Raw genomic sequence first — 21,248 nt, forward strand, 5'->3', positions numbered from 1 at the left:
ACTCATCTAGTGTTCCCAGCAGAATCACCTTAACCTTTGTCATGGGAAGGGTGAGGTGGGTGGGTAGAGACGACCTTTGCTGAGAGAAGGTGCTATCTCTAAATCCCCCTAATTATGGGACTAATGTGCGCCTTTAAGTGGAACCGAGTCTTATGTATTGTGGGAATGCTGGTGGACTAGAATTTAAGCAGAAAACGATTTAAACTTGAATGGTATCACTTAGGATTCTTGGTTATGTGGAACCAAAGCACAACTGAAATTCAGGAGAAAGGGGAATTTATTGGAAGATACTGGTAATCCACATGGTAAAAACAGAACTGCCCTCAGCTCTGGCATTTGACATGTTCCAGAGTTAGTCTCTGGAGAGATACTGGCCTGGCATTCTCTTCGTTTCCAGTCTAAAATGCCAGGGAGGAATTCCCCAGGTTAAGAACAGGCGTGTGTGGCCAAGAGGGGATTGGTAGTACGAGATGATATTTCCCAACATTACTATTAGAATGGGAAGGCAGGTGGTCTTGAAGAGGGACAGTTCCTAGAAAAGTGTAGCCTGGCCAGATAAAACATATCTGTGACATATAGATGTGGCTACCAGCACCCAAAGATGTGCTGTGTTTCGGGGTGGAATTTGCCTTTTATGCACAGGTACAGCATTCTTCTTGATGGGTGTTCTGATTTGTGCTCAGCTGATTCTTATATGTGCAATTTTCATAGTGCCCCAGCTAACATAATCTATTCATCTCACTTCCAACCGTGAATTTACTCACAGCCTCTCTATCCCCAGTGGGAGAAAATGCAGGGCCATCCAGCTGCTACCTCTAGTGGTAGTGTCATGGGGCCACTGTCCCATGCATCCAGCCTCCCTGGTAGTATCTTTTCTCCTCTTGTTTGGCCTCAGTGAGGTCGGAATGTGGCTCCTCAAGATCCTGCAGTTGCGTTTTAAAGTGTGGCATGTATATCTTTTGTTATACACAGTTATTTTAGATGGTACTTGTTATTGAATCAAGCAACAAGAAGCTGACTGCCTTTAAAACTCTGATTAGGTCAGTGAGAAAGACTAGTTGGACACTAATTCATTTTTAATTTTTAAACATTTAATATGTTGTATTGAGGTAAATTACAAAACATCACGGTCACCTGTTTTAAGTGTATACAGTTCAACGACTGTTAGTATATTTTTAGAGTTGTACAGTCATCTCATATCTAATTTTAGAACATTTCTATCACTCTGTGAAGAACGTCATGCCCATTTATACTCGCTCTCAATTTCCACCTCCTTCCAGCCCTGGTAATCACTAATGTACCTTTTTTTCCTCTAAATTTGCTTTTTCTGGACGTTTTGCATACATGGAATCGTACAATATGTGGTCTTTTGTGACCATCTTCTTTCAGTTAAGCAAATGTCAGTGATGCATTCATTTTTATGGCTGAATAATATTTCATTGTATGGATATACCACATTTTTATTTATTCATTCACACATTAACATTTGAATTATTTCTACTTTTTTGCTATTATGAAAAATGTTCCTATGAACAATCATGTACAAATTTTGTGTGGATGTATGTTTTCATCTCTCTAGGATATGTACTTAGGAGTGGAATTTCTGTGTCACATGATAACTCTTTGTAATAATTTTGGGAACTCACAGACTGTTTTCCAAAGTAACTGCAAGATATCCACATCCTCACCAACATTTATTGCCTGTCTTTTTGATCATAGGCATCCTAGTGGGTGTGAGATTGTGTCACTGTGGTTTTCCTAATGACTAATGATGTTAATAAATGTCTTTTCATATGTTTATTGGCCATGTGTGTATCTTCTTTGGAGAAATGTCTCTTCAAATCCCTTGCCTAATTTTTAGTTGGATTGTCTTTTTATTATCGAGTTGTAAGAGTTCTTTATGTATTCTGAATAAAAGTCTCTTATCAAACATGTAATTCGCAAATATTTCCTCTCATCCTGTGGATTATCTTTTCACAATTTTTACTGTGTGCAAAAGTTTATGTCCAGCTTATCATGTTTTTCTTTTATCTCTTGTTCACAAGTGATTGGCTAATTGAACATCACAAATATTTATTAATGTTTTCTTAGTGCTTACATTTAGGTCTGTCATCCATTTTGAGTTACTTTTTGTATGTAATGTAAGATACGGGTCCAAATTCATCTTTTGCCATGTGGATATCTAATTACCCCTGCACCAGTTGTTGAAGAGATGGTTTCTTTCCCATTGAATCTTTTGGGGGCACTTTTGCCCAAAAGCAGTCAACCATAAATGTGGTCTTATTTTTGTGCTCTTAACTTTATTAGTTGATCTACACGTCTGTCCTGACACCAGTGTTATACTATTTTGATTGCTGTAGCTTTGTAGTAAGTTTGAAATTTAAAACTGTGAGTCCTTCAACGTTGTTCTCTTTTTCAAGATTGTTTGACTATTCTGGACCCTTAACATTTTCATATGAATTTTAGGATCTATTTCTTAATTTCTGAAAAACAAAAGGCAACTTTGATTTTAACAGAAATTGTGTTGAATCTTTAGGCCCATTCAGGTATTATTCCCATCTTAACAATTTTAAGTCTTCCGATCCATCAGTGTGAAATGTCTTTTCATTTTAATAGGTCTTCTTTAATTTCTTTTAGCAATGTTTTATAGCTTTCAGTTTACAAGTCTTGCTTTTGTTTTATTTATTCTTCTGTATTTGATTTTTTTGATGGTATTGTGAATGGGATTGTTTTCTTATTTATGGCATTGCTTGTTGTTAGTGTGTAGAAATGCAATTGACTTTAGTATGTTTATCTTGTATCCTATAACTTTCCTGAACTCATTTATTAATTTTAGTTGTTTTTTAGTAAATTATCTGGAGTTTTCTATATACAAGATTATATTATCTGGGAATAAAGACTATTTTACTTCTTCCTTTCCAATATGGGTGCCTTTTAGTTCTTTTTCTTGACTAATTTCTCTGGCTAGAATCTCTAAAACAGCCTGGAATAAAAGTAATGAGAGTGCACATTCTTGTTTCTTCCTGATCTTAAGGATAAAATGCTCCAGTAAGTATCACACTAACTGGTTTTACATATATGTTTTTTATTCTGTTGAAGAAATTCCCTTCTGCTCCTAGTTTGTTGAAGGCTTTTTGTCATGACTGAATGTTGGATTTTTTCAAAAAACTTTTTACATATGTAATTATATGTTAATTGATTTTGGGATGTTAAACTAGTCTTGCATTGCTGGGATAAATCACACTTGGTCATGATGCATAATCCTTTTTATACATTGCTGGGTTTAGTTTGCTAGTGTTTTGTTAAGGATTTTTATGTCTATATTCATAAAGGGTTTTAGTCTGTAGTTTCCATTTCTTAGAATATCTTTGTCTGGCCTTGGTATCAGGGCAATAACAGTCTTGCAGAATGAGTTGATAAGTTTTCCCACCTCCTCTGTTTTCTAGAAGAGTTTGTGAAGGATTGATGTCATTTCTCTTTGTTTTTCTACATCAACTTGATCTCCATGATGTCAGTTCTTTAAGTGTTATCTAATTTGCTGTGTAGTTCATAGTATTATCTCATAATCTTTTTTTCTTAATCCCATGACCAATTAAATAATACTTCTAATTTGTATAAGGTCAGTAGTGATGTCTCATTTTCCATTCCTAATTTTAGAAATTTGAAACTTCTCTCTTTTTTTCTCATTCAGTCTAGTCGATAGTTTGTCAGTTTTGTTGACCTTTTCAAAGAACCAGTGTTTTTGGTTTATTTCTTTTCATTGTTTTTCTCTTTCATTTATTTATCCTCTAATTGTTATTTCCTTCCTCCTGTTTACTTTGGATTTACTTTGTTCCTCTTTTTCTGGTTCGCTAAGGAGAAAGGTTAGCATATTTATTCGAGATCTCTTTAAATGTAGGCATTTATAGTTATAAATTTTCCTGTAAGCACTGCTCTAGCTGCATCTCATAGGTTTTGATATGTTGTTTTTAACTAATCTCAAAATATTTTCTAATTCGTGTTCTAACCCATTGTTTATTTAATAGCATATGCAATTCCCAAATTTTGACTTTTGATCATTTCTAATTTAATTCCATTGTAATCTGAAACATACTTTGTATGATTTTAATTATTTTACATTTATTGAGGCTTGTTTTATGGCTTAGTATATGGTCTGTCCTGGGGAATGTTCTAAGTGAGCCCGATGACACTAAGTTTTTAAGACCTATTTTTACACTTGCTATTCTCCCTTAGAGAGAAAGTCTAAGGTTGAGGGCCCTCTGCAGACAAGTGTGTCTAACTAGAGTTTAATTATATTTTGTCTTTATCATATTTATTTTTTAGGATTACATTCTTTTTATGATAGTTGACACTAGTGTTGCATTTATGACAGTGATATCATATTTCTTTTAAAATGTTAAAAAAGTTGATTTATGCACATGACATGATTATCTACACAGAAAAGCCCAAAGAATCTACCAAAAAAGTTCTAAAAATACTAAGTGGGTTCAGCAAAGTTGTGGGATACAAAAGCAACGTGGAAAAATCAATCAGATTTCTATATATTAATACTAACAATAAATATGCAGAAACTGAAATTTAAAACACGATATTCTTTACAATTGCTCCAAAGAAAATGAAATACTTAGGCATATATTTAACAAAACATATATAGGAGCTGTATGCTGAAAAGTACAAAATGTTGATGAAAGAAGTCATGTAAGAGTTGAATAAATGGAGAGACATATTATGTTTATGAATTGAAAGTCTCAACATAGTAAAGATGTTCATTCTCTTCAAATTGAGTTATAGGTTTAAATGAAATTTTTGTCAAATCTTAGCAAGGTTTTTTGTAAACATAAATAAGCCTATTCTAAAATTTATATGGAAAATCACAGACACTGAATAGCTAAAACGATATTGACAAAGAAGAATATAATGGAAAGAATCACTCTGTTCTATATGAAGGCTTACCATATAGCTACAGTAATCGAGACAGTATGGTATTGGCAGTGAGACGGATGCATAGATCAATGGAACAGAATAGAGAACCCAGAAATAAATCTACACAAATATGCTCAATTGATTTTTTGACAAAGATGCAAAGGTAGTTCAACAGAAGAAGCAATTCAACCAATGACCTTTTCAACAAATAGAGTAATCGGACATCAATAGGCAAAACAAAAACAAACCTCAACCTTATATAAAATTAGTCTAAAATGAATCACAGGCTTTAATGTAAAATGTTAACCCATAAAACTTTTAGAAAAACTTCTAAAAGAAAATAAATTTAAAGATCTGGGGTTAGGCAAAGAGTTCTTAGACTTATCATTAAAAGCACGATTCATATAAGGAAATACTGATAAATTAGACACCCTTAAAATTTAAAAACTTAAAAATATTTGCTCTGTGAAATATTGAGGTGTGAAGAGGATGAAAGACAAGCTACAGACTAGGAGGAAATATTTGCAAACTATATATCTATAAGGGACTAGTATGTAGACTATATAAAGAACTCACAAAATTTACATGAAAAAATTTGAAAATGGCAAAAGACATAAACAGACATTTCACCTGAGAGAATAGGAAGATGGTGAGGAAGGATATAAGGCGACGTTCAATATCATCATCAAACCTATCAGAATGGCTAAAATAAAAATCAGCGACAACACCTAATGCTGGTGAGGATATGGAAAAACTGAGTCATCCATACGTTGCCGGTGTGAATGCAAAATGGCACAGCCACTCTGGAAAACAGTTTGGCAGTTTCTTATAAAACTAAACGTGCAGTTACCATATGGCCTGGCAATCACATTCACGGGCATTTATCCTGGAGAAATGAAAACTTATGTTCACACAAAACCTGCACATGAATATTCATAGACACGTTATTTGTAATAGTCCTAAACTGGGATCAGCCCAGATGTCCTTCAGTTACGAATGGCTAAACAAACTGTGGTGCATCCATACCATGGACTACTACTCAGCACTAAAAGGAGGCAAACTGCTGATACACACAGCTCGAAATGCATCTTCAGGGGAATTGTGCCGAGTGAATGAAGCCAGTCCCAAAGGTTTCACATTGCATGGTTCCATTTATATAACATTTTAGAAATAGAGGATAGATTACTGATTGCCAGGGCCTATCATAAGGGGAAGTAGGGGTGGGGGACGGGGAGGAAAGTGGGCATGGGTTTGAAAGAGCAACATAAGGGACCCTGTGGTGTCGGCACTGCTTGGTATCTTCTCTGTGGTGGTGGACACAGGAACCTACACAGGTGGTAAAATTGTATACAGCTTAACTCACATACATAAGTGCATACAAGTAAAACTGGAGAAATCTGAATAAGATAGAATGCATCAATGACAATGTCCTCTTTGTGATATTATACCATAGTTTTTCAAGATGTGACCATTTAGGGAAACTGGGCGAAGTGTATGAGAAATCGCTTGGTACTGTTTCTTACAACTGCATGTAAACGAATCTACGGTTATCTCAGTAAAAAATCTGATTAACAAAAAGTTGATTTAGATAAAAATAATAAATATTGGAACAGTCAGGTGAGGGTATGTGTGATACATATGCATTATATATATTATATACACATGGCAAAAATTACAAAGGGGGATGTATTTGACAAAAATTTTGTAAACACACTGGGCCAAATGATTAAATTAACCATCTCCAGCACACCTAAGGTACAAAAGATAAACAGGGTAACTGTATTAAAAATTCCCATTTAGGAAAGAGGGAAGGGGAAGACTGCTGCCTGGGTCTCTGCCCAGAATGTCTGTCTCCTGTGAGACAGGAATAGTCGGTAAGTGATAGGGCCTGGGAACCTAGTGGGCACCGGCTTGTTGACACGTTTCTATGGTGGGGGAATCGGTTCTTGGTCAGCAATCTGGCTGCTCCAGATTCTGCCTGCTGATATAACTTTTCTGGGGAGTTAGCCAAACCTCTAAACCCCAGACCTTATTCAGAGCTTGACCTTCTTTTACTCTAATCCCAAAGTACTTTGCTCTCCTGTAATTCCCAGAAAACTGTATTTGATTTTTAACTGAGGGTTGTAGCAGGACAGTATGTAGATATGTGTGTGTAGATATGTGTGGATGTAGATGTGTTTGTATGTGTGTGTGTATGTGTGTGTGTAGATGTATGTGTGTATGAGTGTGTGTGTAGATGTGTATGTAGATGTGTGTGTATGTGTGTGTAGATGTGTATGTGTGTGTAGATGTATGTGTGTATAAATGTGTGTGTAGATGTGTGTATAGGTGTGTGTGTGTAGATGTGTATGTGTGTGTGTAGATGTATGTGTATATGAGTGTGTGTAGATGTGTGTGTATGAGTGTGTGTGTAGATGTGTGTGTGTAGGTGTGTGTGTGTTGGTGGAACTGATCTCATCCAACACACTTTGGTTGTGTAAGCTTGTCAATTCTTGGAAGGAGCTCTGCCTGGCCTATTTTGAGAATTTGCTGGATGGAAATGGAATTCGCCCTCCAACCTTGGCTCAGCCCACTTAAGGCATTTGAGTGCAGAAGTACTTGGCAGAGATGCCTGTTCAGTGTGTTTCATCTTCTTGCATGTTCCAGAAGATGGTATAAAGGTCCGCCCCACTCCCAGAGTGGAAGGCATTCAGAGGCATCCGGTCAGGTACACTCAGGATTTTTAGCTTGGATTTTTTTCTAGGTTCCTGATCTTGGTGAGAGATTTTCCTATCTTGAACAACCCTAAACAAAATCTCCCCTGCTCAAATTATTGTGAAACTGAAGTAATGTATGGTCCCTCTGAATTTGAGGCATGAAAGCAAAGTGGAATGTGAGAAGACTGTCCTGGACTTGCACAGAGTAGGTGCTCAGGGGTGTAACCCCCCGTCCTTCCTGCCGCTCTTCTCCCTCCCCATGAATGTTCTGGTCACAGCTCCCAGGGGTGGAGAGTGTGCAGTTCCTGGTGGGGCAGGCCATTCTGTTCTCTCCACCATCTGCTGATGCTGGAGTTAGGCTTGCACAGTTGGGGACATTTAAGGGATTGTCAGAGTTGCAAGAAAATAAGAACCTCAAATGGATTGAATCCACAGGATCTGGGGTACCAGCTGACTTGCCTGGTCAAGATGGCAGGAGAACCTAGTCTGTGTGCGAGCTGGGGCTGGCAGCAAGTTTCTGAACAAGTAGCACATGGCATGGGGCTAATTCAAGGTCTGTGCTATTCTAGGACAGCAGATTGGCCTAGGGTCTAAATAGAAAAGAAAGCTTTGTCTCAGAAAGTCTGGAGAGCCCTACAGGACGCTGCATGTCCTTTTCCTGGGTCTGGTGGGAAAAACAGGGCAGTTGAGTCTTGCAAAGAAAAAAAGAGAAATAGGTTGTAACCTTGCCTCAGTGGTTTTAAAAGTTTCATGAATTCAAGAAACCATAGTGCACTTGTTAAAAATTCCAGTTCTAGGAACCAGGTCCAGAGATTTTGATTCAATAGGAAGAGGCAGGCAAGGGTATGTGCATTTTAAAAAGTGATCCTTTTACAAGTGGTCCAAGGGTCATTCTCGGAAAAGCATTGCTTTCGTCAGTAGGAGTTTATGGTAGAGAAGAATGAGGAAGTCCCAGAATCTATCCTGGCATCTGTACAGGTCTCTAACTGCAGGCTGCACTGTCTGGGCTTCTCTCTTGCCCTTCAGGCTTCCTGGAGAATGAAAACAATGACTCATCATCTTTCAGGATTCAAAAGTGTCACCCATTATCCTAAGCAAATTAATCCAGGAACAGAAAATCAAATACTGCATGTTCTTACTTATAAGGGGAAGTAAGCATTGGGCACTCACGGACATAAAGATGGAAACAGACACTGGGAGCTTCAGAGGCAGGAAGGAGTGGGGGACAGTTGCAAAACTTCCTCTTGTGCTCAGTACGTGGGTGACAGAATCAATTGTACCCCAAACCTCAGTGTCACCCCGCATACCCATGTAACAAACCTGCACACGTACCCCTCTGAATCTAAAATAAAAGTTGAAATTATTGGCTGGTCAGGGTGGCTCACACCTGTAATCCCAACATGTTGGGAGGCTGAGGTGGGCAGCTTACCTGAGGTTGGGAGTTCAAGACCAGCCTGGCCAACATGATGAAACCCCCCTCTACTAAAAATACAAAAATTAGCCAGGTGTGGTGGCACACGCCTGTAATCCCAGCTACTTGGGAGGCTGACACATGAGAATTGCTTGAACCCAGGAGGCAGAGGTTGCAGTGAGCTGAGATCGCACCACTGCATTCCAGCCTGGGTGACAGAGCGAGACATTGTCTCAAAATACAAACAAACAAACAAACAAAAAAGTTGAAATTATTTAAAAAAACACACACACAAAACACAAAAGTGACACCATTGGCCCTTCATCTTTAATCTCTTCCAAAGCATTTCCAGGGCCTCTCTGCCCCCTTTCACACCCCACATTCATAATCACCAGGAGAAGAGATGTGATTGGGTTCAAATTAATATGAGGCTACCCTATTTAGCTTGGATCTTTTTCTAGGTTCCTGATCTTGGTGAAAGATTTTCCTATTTTGAACAACCCTAAACAAATTCTTCCTCTGCTCAAATTATTGTGAAACTGAAGTAATGTATGATCCCTCTTCTGGATGGTTCGACTCCCTTATATCCAGCCTGTGCTTGGTTGCCTTTGGCTTGGGTAAGGGGTTAAGGGTACCTGGCTTTGGGACCTCTGTGAGAGGACCTGCAGGTATTTCAGGAACCATTTGCTTTAGGGCCATGTGGCCAGGATCCTCCGCGAAGGAGGGAAGGTCAGAGGAAGAAGAGCATATCCTATCCCACCCTGGCCCTTAAGCAAGAATCACTCCCTCACACTTCCTCTGACAAGCATGGGCAGCCTTGACCTATAGCTGCCATAATAAGTCATTCCTTGGGAGAAATTACTCCAACCCCATACATTCCGCATAGCAGGTTCTAGTTCTACATTTCTTCTGCTTGATCTTGTTTTCCTGATTTTGAATTCTTGGCTCTACACAAATCCCCTTTGACTCTTCCCAATTTGAAACTCTTTCAGGCTTTCCTGGTCATTTTTGGACATTGGCCTTCATTTCATGGCTTCTAATGGAACTGCTTTTCAAGCTCAGGGGTCTCCTGTTGGCATTTCCTTGAAATTCCACCTCTCACTGGTGTATTTAGGGCCACGAATGAATCAGAAGGATGAGGGAGGGATCAGGAAGTGCCGATGGGAGAAGACCCCTCAGACCTAGTTTATTTTATCTTACAAGTGGTAGCAGTGGGAAGTTACCCAACAACAGTGACGATGGGGGCTGGGTTGGGAAGTGGGAGAACTTTCTTCTCAGAGGTGGTGGGTAATGACCTTGAGATGGCTCTGCTGTCACTGGCTGCCTCTGCCTAAGATTCCTCCTACCCTCCCCATGAATACAACCCAGGAGATGCTCAGGGGCTGTTCTCATGCACTCTCGCCTCTTCTGAGGGATGGAATCATGGTCTCTTAACATCTTACGGAAGCACTCTGGTGCCTCTTACAGAAACATTGGGAGGGATGGGTGGGACTGCTGCCAGGGAGTCCAGAATTCCTTCCTGGAGTAGAGGTCATACACCAAGACAAAGGGCATCTAGTGTTAGAAGTGAAAATAGGGTAGGGTAGGAGGAAGGAAATTAGTCCTATCAGCTCTCAGTCATTTGATTAGCAAATACGTTTTGACGGTCCTTTTGTGGCAGCAAAGTGCTGTGAGAATAGAAAAGAGACTGTCTTTTCCTTTGAGCTATTAATGTTTACTTCTATTTGGGCAGCCAAGAAAGGGGGTGGGGAAGTATCTGATGAGCAATGTAAGACTGTATTTAATGAAGTTCCAGTTGGTCTGATGCAGTCCAGAAAGGACAGAGGGGTTCAGGAAGGGGAGAGGTCAGAATCATCTGTTGTGACTAGGAAAGGCATGGGACGACATGCGTCCCAGGTGAGGTATGTGCCACAGGCAGTTACGGATGTGTTGGAGGAGGAAATTCCAGGAAGGGGCAAGATCTGGAACGAAGGCCTGGAGGTGGGAGCGAGCTTGGCACGTGTTGGCAGGGAGGGGCCGTCAAGAATATCTACCCTGCGCCTGCCCTGGGGAATAGTGGGAAAGATGGCGGGATGGTGTGGGTCTCAGAAGCATGCAGAGTGGGTGGGCTCGATGTGCTGGCCAGGATGGTGCCCGCCTCGGCTTCCCCATTGCCAGGCAGTCAGAACACTGTTTTCTTCTGAGCCTGTTGTGGCCCCAGGCTCCTCCTTAATGCAATGCCTCGGGTAGTCACTACCAGTTAAAGAGATCAAACCTATTGGCCATCCTCCAAGGAGGCTGTGGGAGCCGTTCTAGTGTCTTGAGTAAGTGTGTGATTCATGCAATTTCCTGTGCAATCTATAGCTGGAAACCAGGGTGAGCCTGTGCTTCCATAGTGTACACGGTCAAGTTAGAAACACCACCAGCCATCTCCTCACTTGTTTTACATTTTTGGATAAAGTTGTGGTTTTTAACAGATTAAAAATATATTTGGAGATAAATACTTTTTACTAAGAATAATAAATTTACATTGCTTTCATCTCTTCCATGTGACTCTAAAACTCATTCCAGTCTTGATAGTGAGCCACAGTTGAGTAGGGGAGTTTCTTAGAAATTATACAAACCAAATAACAGAATTTGAAATGCTGGACCTTAAAAATCCAATTTATTCCAAATACTAAAAGCACTAAAGCCAGTGAACATCAAAAGGCCTGAAAAATCATGGCAAGTGTTAAATGCACGATGCGTTTTCCTTATGTGAGATAATGAGGAAGAATAGAGTCTGTGCTGTTAAAATGTGTGTGCTCTGAGATGTGCCTGTCCGTGTTCTGCGACTGATGTGGTGCGGGTGGCCCCTCCCATTTACCTGCTGCTGTCACAGGAGGAGGGAGGGAGCTGAAGACTGAGCTGCCCAGAGAGCCCATCAAAGGCATCTGGAATCTTTCTTAATTTAAAACATTCTTAAAGAAGAATATATAAAACAAGCATATCGTAAGGAATACTGTGGTAATAAAATGAACAGCCGTGTAAGTGTGCCACAGAGAACCCTTCCCCAATCGTATCCTCTTCTCTCCACCCAGAAGTAACCACCCTGCTGACTTTGGTGATAACCACTTGTTTTCGTTATGCTTTACACCTACATTTGCATTTTCCAAGCAGTAGATTTGCCCGTTTTTGAACTTTGTAAGCGGAATGAGACTGTATGTGTCACGTGATGACGTGTCGTTCACTCAGCATGTTTGTCAGATTCACCTGATGGGGGTTAGCTGTGGTTTCTACATATTCATTGCTGTCTACTGTTCCGTTTTATGAGTGGAACACAGTTTATCTATTCATTCTATTGGTGGATATTTGAGTTATTTCTGGCGTGGTGTTACTATGAACATTGCTGCTTGAACGTTCTTGCACATGTGTAAGCATTTCTCTGGACTGGGGTAGGTAAGAGTTGAATTGCTGAGTTTCAGGGGGTGCACACCCTCAGTCTTACTAGGTAATGCCAACGTCTTTCACGGTGGCATGGAATATGCCAATCGTGTGTGAGACTTCCTGAGGCTCTGCCTCCTTGCCAGGCTTCAGAATTGTGATCCTTCAGGGCATATAGTGCTATCTGACAGTCATTTCAATGTGCATTTTCCTAATTACCTATAAAGTTGTCATCTTTTTATATATTTATTGGCCATTTAAGTTTCTTCTTCTGTGAAGTGCCTGTTCAAATCTTTGCCATTTTTTTCTATTGGATTGTTTACCGTAATCTTGTTTATTTTTAGGATTTAAAAAAATATATACTTGATGCTATTCTTTTGTTATCTCTATGTGTTGAAACTATCATCTTCGAATTTAGGTCTTATATTTTCATTTTCTTTATGTTGTCTTTTGCTTTTAAAAAATATTATTATTATTATTATTATTTTAGAGATAGGGTCTTACGTAGTTGCCCAGCTGGAGTGCATAGCTCACTGCAGCCTTGAACTCCTGGGCTCAAGCAATCCTCCTGCCTCAGCCTCTCAAGTAGCTAGGACTATAGATGTGCACCACCATACCCAGCTAATTTTTTTAAAAAAATTTATGTGTTTGTAGAGATGGGGGTGTTGCTATATTGCCAAGGCTGGTCTCAAACTTCTGGCCTCAAGGGATCCTCCCACCTTGACCTCCTAAAGCCCTGGGATTATAGGAATGAAACACCGCACCCAGTTCTTTTTTTCATTTTTTAAGAGACAGGGTCTTGCCATGTTGCCCAGGCTGGAGTGCAGTGGCTATTCGCAGGCCTAATCCCACCACTGATCAGCACTGAAGTTTCCACCTTCTCTATTTCCTACCTGGGCCAGTTCACCCCTCCTTAGGCAACCTGATTGTCCGTCACCCCTTGGAGGTCACTATATTGCCATGCAACTTAGTGCAGACACCTGATTGACATAGTGCACTACAACCCAGAACTCTGGGGCTAAGTGATTCTCCTGCCTCAGCCTCCTGAGTAGCTAGGACTGCGGGTGCATGCCACCATGCCAGGCTGTGTTGTTTTTTCATCATCAGAAGTCCTTAATTTTTGTGTAACATGATTTATCAATTTTTTTCTTTATGGTTTATTTTGGGGGGAAGAGCCTAATTTTAAGAAATCTTATTTTAAAAATATTTCCATACCTCCAAGATCAGGAAGTTATTCCCCTAATATTAACTTACTCCCCCAATATTAACTATCTTTCATAAGCTTTACAGTTTTGGTTTTCCTATCTGTCTTCAAATCACTTGAAATGGATTTTGATATGTATGCTGCTTAATTTTTCCCATGTAGACACCCAGTTGTCTCAGCATTATTGGATGTGAAGTCCACTGTTTTCCTACTGACCTGCAGTATTAGCTGTCATACGTTGCGTGTCATGTGCACAGTGTTTCTTGGGCCGTCTCTTCTGTTCCATCGGCTGACTTAGCCATCCTTAAATCAACACTGCACTAACTTAATTACGATACCTTTATCGTGAGTCTTGATAAACAGTCTGGACTTATGCTCTGGGATCTTTAATCAATACTTGTGGGCCCCAGAAAAGATTTCATGAGCACATAGAAGTGTGGGTGTGGACATGTTATGGTCTGGTGGAGACTGGGCTTATGTTGTACTTTGGGTTATGATGCAGAACTATGTTATCTATTTCGTTGCTCAAACGGTTCCAACTTTGGCCACTGGGGTTTCTTTCTGTTGGCTCCCCTGTCCCTTTGACATATGCCTATCATTTTGGTTTTTGAGCACTTTCTTACTTTCTGGCACAAGAAGCTGTTTCAGATTTATCTTGGATATTTTTGGCTCCGGCCCTATAGTCGGCCTGACTCCTTTTCCCTAATTAGGACTCCACAGGAAACACAGTCCCTTCTTCAAGGAGCTCGGCCTAGCAGTAGACAGCTTCTTTGTAGGCAGGACCAGGCTTCTCTGCAGCAGAAGGGAACTTGAAATCAGGGTAATGAGCCTCAGCAGGGACGGGCCACCACGCTGCCCTGAGAGGATCGTGTGTGGGCACGGCGCTGTGGCATGGCCCTGCTTTGACCCTCTAGCTATGCTGTAGGGCCAGGTGGAGCCTGGAGTGGCCTGAGCTGGGGACTGCCGTGAACTCTTTCCACTCCCCAAGGCATTGCATAAGTAATGTCACTTTCTACTTGCACAGCAAAATCAGGGACACAGTTTTCTCGAACACGGGGTGCCTCCCCTCCCTGCAGCCCATGCTGGTCTACCCTGGGTGGTGGGCCCTTGTTTGTGTTAGAGACAGAACGCTCTGCAGGATTCTGAGTGGCCAGTTGTGGCTCACAGTCCACTGGCAAGTGGAGGCAGAGCTGTGGAGCCCTTGGTAGCCACGGAGGGCCTGCCACCCGTCATGAAATGCCTACTCAGCTGTTACTGGCCCCCTGTGGACGGCAGTGCTAGTGATGGACAGAATCCTGGGACTAGTGCCAGTGACTCTGTGGATACGCCGAGCGATCTGGGCGTGCACTGCTGTGGTGGCCTTTATGGTCAGGAGGCGACATGCAGTGAGAAGAAGGGAAGAACTGGCCCAAAGGGATTCAGCCCAGGGTGAGGTCCACGGAAAGGCCAGGGCCAAGATGCAGCCAGCACCCCAGGCCGGTGGTGGCCTCACATCACCCATGCCAGAGGTCAGTCCTCGATTGCTCCAAACCCTCTGCTCAAGGGTTCAGAAGGAAATGAGCAGGTCTTCCCATCAGGGCCCAGATGAGCTTCTGAAAACAAGTGTGACAAAACAACCTCCTGAACATCCTGGAATGACCGATGCAAAGTACACCCCACACGGTTCACAGCACGAAGATCATCAGGGGCAAACCGTGGACGATCTGAATGACAGCACAGACCGTCAGCAACCTGCAGAGCTGCCTGGCCAAGAAATTACGAGACGGAAGCAACGCTTGCAGGCGAAGGAGGAGAAGAAGGAAAGGCCAGAGCAGGCAGGGGCAGGAGTGGAACGGGCCGCGAATGTCGGAGTGAAGTGCAGACCTTCCTGGCCCACACCCCTCCGAGCATGTGCTCGAGGGCAGTAGGGACCACGTGGAGGACAAGGACTTGGCAATGGTGGGGAACAGGGAATCAGGACATGGCAGTCCCTCAGCATCCCGGCCAGAAGTCCCTCTGAAGAGTGAATGATGATGGTGACTTAGGTGTGTCTTTTGAATATCCTGAGGGGGAGATTGGAAAAGCAGACTTGCAATCCTGGGAAGAAATCCAAAGGTGTAAAGAACTCACAGCGGAAGTCCAAAGTCTTCCTGCAGGCCTCCCTGCGGGGCACGAGGGCACAGCTGGAGAGGGAGCTTCCAAAACTGCAGCTGAGGGTTCCCGCTGCCTACACTGCACCGAGAACTCCCGTGATGGGGTCTCACGGGAGTCCACGGAGGAGAACGCCTACTGCCTGGACCTCGACCAGAGACTTCGAAAGGTGCACGAAAACGTGAACCGCCGTGTCAGACTTGCAACCACTACAAGAAGATGACCCAAGACCTGGCCCAGGAATCGAAAAAAGACACTTCCAATTTTCAGAGGGAGATCTTCTTCCGTGAGAAAATGGCCCAGGAAGGCCGGATGGCTGCTGTATCCACTGAGACAGCGCTCCAGCCGCTCCGGGAAGAAAATGACCACAGCAGGCAGAAGCCAGCTGATTTTGAGGCCAAGTTCCAGCTTCTCCGGGGTGGTGCTTTGGCTCCTGGGGTTCTGCCCGCAGCCCACAGGGGCCCGGAAGTGTCAGGGGGACCATGGGACGACAGGGCCCCCAGAAGGGAGGCAGGTCACAATGTGAGGGTTTGGGTCCAGAGTACCTGCTGGTTTGATTCTGTTTTCCCTGTAACCAGGTCCTGAACGCCCAGAGCCTCAGCAGAACATCAGCCAGTGGTGCTCCCTTTAAGTTACTTTTGCTCGATCTCTTGTTAGTTTAGTTCATTGGTTGATGCTGAAGTTGCTTATATTGATGTTTGATAGATGGCATTAGGATTGTAAGGTACTATTTTTCAGATAAAGATTGTTTAATTCTGGCACATACACGATTTCCACATCTCTGGACCCTCCATAAGTACGCAGGATAAGTATTTCATTTTCGTTTAGAAAAAGGGCCTCTCTTACCTCAACATCATTGTGTTCGTTATGGATAGGAAGACATAAGCCATATCTGATCTATGAGCTGTTATTAGAAAATAGTACAGTAAATTGGCTGGAATAAACCTTGGTTTTAAAACAGTGCCAAAAGTGTCATAAAGTTCTTTGTCTCTGACCCAGAATTCTTGGGTCTTCTGTCAGCATCCATTGACTGTATCAGATGATTTTATTGACTTATAAGTAGGGTAAAGTCAATCCCTTCATGCTTTTTATGAGACAGATGGGATACTGATAGAGATATGACCGTCTGGAATAGAGCCAATTAATGAGATTTAAGGGAAGTCCTTGAGATTCAGTGGTAGACACATTGAACAAATTATATAGTCTTTTGTCCAACAAATAGTTCTCCACTATGCAGCCCTTTTTTTTTCTTTTTTGAGATGTAGTTTCACTCTTGTTGCCCAGGCTAGAGTACAACGGTGTAATCTTGGCTCCCTGCAACCTGCGCCTCCCAAGTTCAAGCAAAACTCTTGCCTCAGCCTCCCTAGTAGCTGGGACTACAGGCGCCCGCCACCACGCCTAGCTAATTTTTGTATTTTTAGTAGAGATGGGGTTTTGCTATGTTGGCCAGGCTGGTCTTGAACTCCTGACCTCAGGTGATCCACCCTCCTCGGCCTCCCAAAGTGCTGGGATTACAGGCTTGAGCCACTGTGCCCAGCCCAGTATGCAGCCTTTTAATAAGGGACAAACCTGAACAGCAGGTGGTAGGCTCAAAAACACCTTTCCTATAGGCATGTGGATCTCCTCACTAATTCAGCTGTCAGTCCTATTGTGACAATTAGCAATAAATTTCTTCTGGGGTTGAAGGGGAAGGTTCTACCAACTTCAGACAATATTTACAGAGACATAAGGAAAGAAGTCATAAAGAAATATTCAAAGTTCAAAAAAAGAATGAACATAAGTTCTTATTGATGCCTCTAACTCTAATCCAGAACCACAAGCCCTATTCTAACCTTCTTTGGCGGTGGGGGAAGGATGCTAAAAGCCATCAGCTACTGAGTGATTAAACAGAGTGGTTTAATCTTCTGTTCCTGGGGATTTTCTTCGAAGACAGAGTAATCTCTTTTGCCTTCACTTCACATACTGCCCAGAAGTTTCAGCATTTCATAATGTAACTTATATTAATATTAAGAACTACAACTATCTCAGTGATTACTTTCAAATGGCACAATTTTTACTTATAGTTGATCTGTCTCCTGTTTACTTAGGAAGTGGGTTGTAAACAAGTTAATTATTATCACTGCCAACCCTAACTGAGTGCCTACTGTGTGCATGTGTGTAGTTTATGTCAATCCTCCCATCCCATGAAGTTAATATCCTCTTCGTATCTTATCAACAAGGAAACCGAGACACAGGTGGGTCAAGGGGTCGATCCTAGGTCCTGTAGCTAAGACGGTGTAGGGTCCAGCTTCTGACCTAAGTGGTCTATCCCAGAGCCTGTGTTCTTGACCGTCATGGTATCTTGCATCCACTAAGAAGTACAAACAGGACCCACAGTACAAACAGGAACTCCCAAACTGCCCCGAGAGAAAACGGCAGCTGGTATGATCCGCTCAGAGGATTTGGAGCCGACAACTCTTTCCAGTGGTTCTTTCTCTGGCCTCTTCAGGACTAGGCTGAATTTCTGTCAGCAGAAGGGGATTAAGAGGCAAAGGAATGGCCAAGTCCCCTAGAGAACCTGTTTTCTGCCCAGTCCCTGTTGGATTCCAAATTCTGATATGTTTTCCATGAGAAACAACCCATTTAAATCTGTGGCGAGAACCTGACACTGCTCGTTTGAACCTGACACCAGGAATTTAGCCCCAGGTGAATAGCAGTTAAGGACATGTGTTATTAAGTAGGTGAGGCCCCTTGGGAGCAGAAATTCTTTGCTGGTACACGGTTGTCAAGTGCTTTAGCTGTAAGTGCTTAGATCATTGCAATGTGTTATTGTCTCAGATATTTGCTGTGAAGGGAGTAGCTATTCTTTGTTTTTTTCAAAGAAGTTTATTTTCGTTTTTTTCCTTCTCACAGGTAAAAATCCAAGTGTCTGTAAGAACTAGCATTTTAAACAGAGATTTTGCTGCTTTAATTATTGTTAAAATGGTTGCCTCATCTGTGTGTTACATAGACATCTTGGGTATTTAGAGAAAATATGAGCTAGGGGGAGCATAACAAACTCTGATTATTCATTTCAGTGGGTGCTTGCCGGAACGGGGCCTGCTGTGAGAACGCGTCAGAGCACACACAGCCCTGCAGCCCTCCTCTGCTTGATTTTGATGAGATGTTGTGAATGATTTCCCTTGCTTTTGGCTGCAATACCTTAAACATGTGGGATGGTTTTGACAGAAAATAATTCCACCACACAGTTAACAGCCGTCTCCCGCTCACCGCTGCTGTGCTGCTCGTGGCCGGCTTAATTGGTCTTTTATGCTTGACCTTGGAAGGGGGCTGTGGCTCGGGGAGAGAGTAAAAATATAATGCAAAAAACATGTAAGGAGACGTTAAATGTTACATTCCAGGAGTCTGGCAGAATATAATATACTTAGTTTTTTCTGTTACAGTATTTTAGAACTATAATATGCATGCTAGAACATGTATGAACCACCAGAGAATTTGTTTTAGGAAGCGCTAATGAGTCCACTCTTCTTTTTATTTTTATTTTTATTTAACTGTAAAATGGTGCCTGAGCAGTGTATATTTTATTGTGCCCTAGCTATAGTCATCTTGATACAGATTTCCAAACTACTGGCTTCATAGTGTCAGATTATGAATTGGATAGAGTGAAAAAATATCAGACTTGACTTTTTATAGTCCCCCCTACAAGAATCATTCTCCATCTTTAGCAGGCTTGAGAACTGCTGGGAAGCTTGCTACAGTGTAGATTTCTGGGGCTTGCCCAGTAGACATTCCGATTCTGTAGGTCTGGGGAGATTTAGTATATGAAGAATGGAGTGGAACACATGGGGAGAGTCAGTGTGTGAGGAATGGGGTGAGACACAAGGGGAGACTCAGTGTGAGGAACAGGGTGAAGCACATGGGTAGAGTCAGTGTGTGAGGAACGGGGTGAAACATGGGGAGATTCAGTGTGTGAGGAACGGGGGGAAACACACGGGGAGAGTCAGTGTGTGAGGCATGGGGTGAAACACAGGGAGAGAGTCAGCATGTGAGGAACCGAGTGAAACACATGAAGAGAGTCAGCATAAGGAATGGGGTGAAATAGATGGGAAGAGTCAGTGTGTGAGGAACGGGGTGAAACACAAAGGGGAGAGTCTGTGTGTGTGGAATGGGGTGAAACATGGGGAGATTCAGTGTGTGAAGAACGGGGTGAGACACATGAAGAGAGTCAGTGTGAGGAATGGGGTGAGACACCTGGGGAGAGTCAGTGTGAGGAATGGGGTGAGACACACGGGGAGATTCAGTATGTGAGGAACGGGGGAAAACATGAGAAGTGTCAGTTTGAGGAACGGTGTGAAATACATAGGGAGATTTAGTGTATATAAAGATATTTGAAATCTGTGCAAAAAAGAGGTAATTCAGTAAATAGTGGTGGAATAAATAAGAGAAGGAAAAATAAGAGAAGATAAATTCAAAATGGAACAAGGATTTAAATGTAAAACAATGAAATCATGAGACTTACAGAAGACAAATAATTTTTAAAATAATCTTAAAAATGGAATGAATTATTTAATCGTGATACAAAACTCAGAAGCCATGGTTGAAAATGATGAATAAGCCTGACTATATGGAAACTTCTGAGTGGCATAAATGCCATAAACAGGAATCAAATACAAACAGCAGGTTGAAAAAAATTCGGAAAATGTATTACAAGGGGCTAGGTTCCATAATATGCAAAGAACAATTACAAATAAATAAGAGGGAAAAACCCTCAAATAATCCAAAACCACCCTGGGCAGAGAACATGTACACGAATGTCATGGAACAAGAAACACTCATGGCTTCTAAAAAGTTATTCACCATCCTTGAATAAAAGTTTCTCAGAATTAATGTCAGATTTTTTTCATTGAGAAAGGACTTCAAAGTACGATGCAGTTCTACTCTTGGGGTGACTTATGAACATTAATATACTTGTCAAGTTGGCTGATCTGGCCTGTGCTCCCCTCATGCTTCTATGGAATGTTGATAATTGGACCGGGAGCTCTCCTGGGCATAAAATGAAGGGGTTGAGTTGGATAACACTACAAAGGGCCTTTACTTGTTTCTTCTACTCGCATCATTTCCTCAGTCTTTTTGGCATTCTGTAAGAAAGTAGTGCCATGCTGTCATCCTCACTGAGACGGCTTTGCAAAGATTCATTTAAGAAACATTGATATAACACTTATGGTGTGCCCGGCATTATTCTGAGCACTTTATAATATCAACCTCCTTTTCCCTTACGTAAACACTGAACATTGCTGTAAAATGTCCACCCAGCCTGGTGGAATGCATGGACGACATAGACCTGAGGGAGGTGAGCACTGAAGGGTATTTACTGGTGGAGACGATCGCTTTCTTTCTGTGAGCAGTGCACTTGGGCTGCCTGCCTGTATTTACCCTCTCATGTGAGGTGCTCATCTGGGCCACCTGGGAACGACTCTGAGCCAAAACCCATAGTCAAGACGCC

At 42.0% G+C, this 21,248-nt stretch overlaps 1 protein-coding gene and 1 pseudogene across 1 annotated transcript in view, besides 2 other annotated features; one reads left to right on the forward strand and one right to left on the reverse strand.

Moving 5' to 3' along the window:
* The window catches only part of RAB31 (RAB31, member RAS oncogene family), a 154,251-nt gene that overhangs the window by 108,810 nt on the left and 24,193 nt on the right, over positions 1-21,248 (forward strand). The gene's annotated exons all lie outside the window — the stretch shown is intronic.
* Positions 13,220-13,517, reverse strand: RN7SL862P (RNA, 7SL, cytoplasmic 862, pseudogene; annotated as a pseudogene).
* Positions 14,718-15,263: an enhancer, noted in NCBI's record as "H3K27ac-H3K4me1 hESC enhancer chr18:9831825-9832370 (GRCh37/hg19 assembly coordinates)". NCBI's record gives its function as "activates a minimal SCP1, AML or CMV promoter by ChIP-STARR-seq in primed H9 embryonic stem cells {active_cell/tissue: H9 hESC(primed)}" and the evidence as "EXISTENCE:reporter gene assay evidence [ECO:0000049][PMID:30033119]".
* Positions 15,264-15,809: an enhancer, noted in NCBI's record as "H3K4me1 hESC enhancer chr18:9832371-9832916 (GRCh37/hg19 assembly coordinates)". NCBI's record gives its function as "activates a minimal SCP1, AML or CMV promoter by ChIP-STARR-seq in naive and primed H9 embryonic stem cells {active_cell/tissue: H9 hESC(naive and primed)}" and the evidence as "EXISTENCE:reporter gene assay evidence [ECO:0000049][PMID:30033119]".

Source organism: Homo sapiens, chromosome 18 (assembly GCF_000001405.40).
Source record: "Homo sapiens chromosome 18, GRCh38.p14 Primary Assembly".
NCBI lineage: Eukaryota > Metazoa > Chordata > Mammalia > Primates > Hominidae > Homo > Homo sapiens.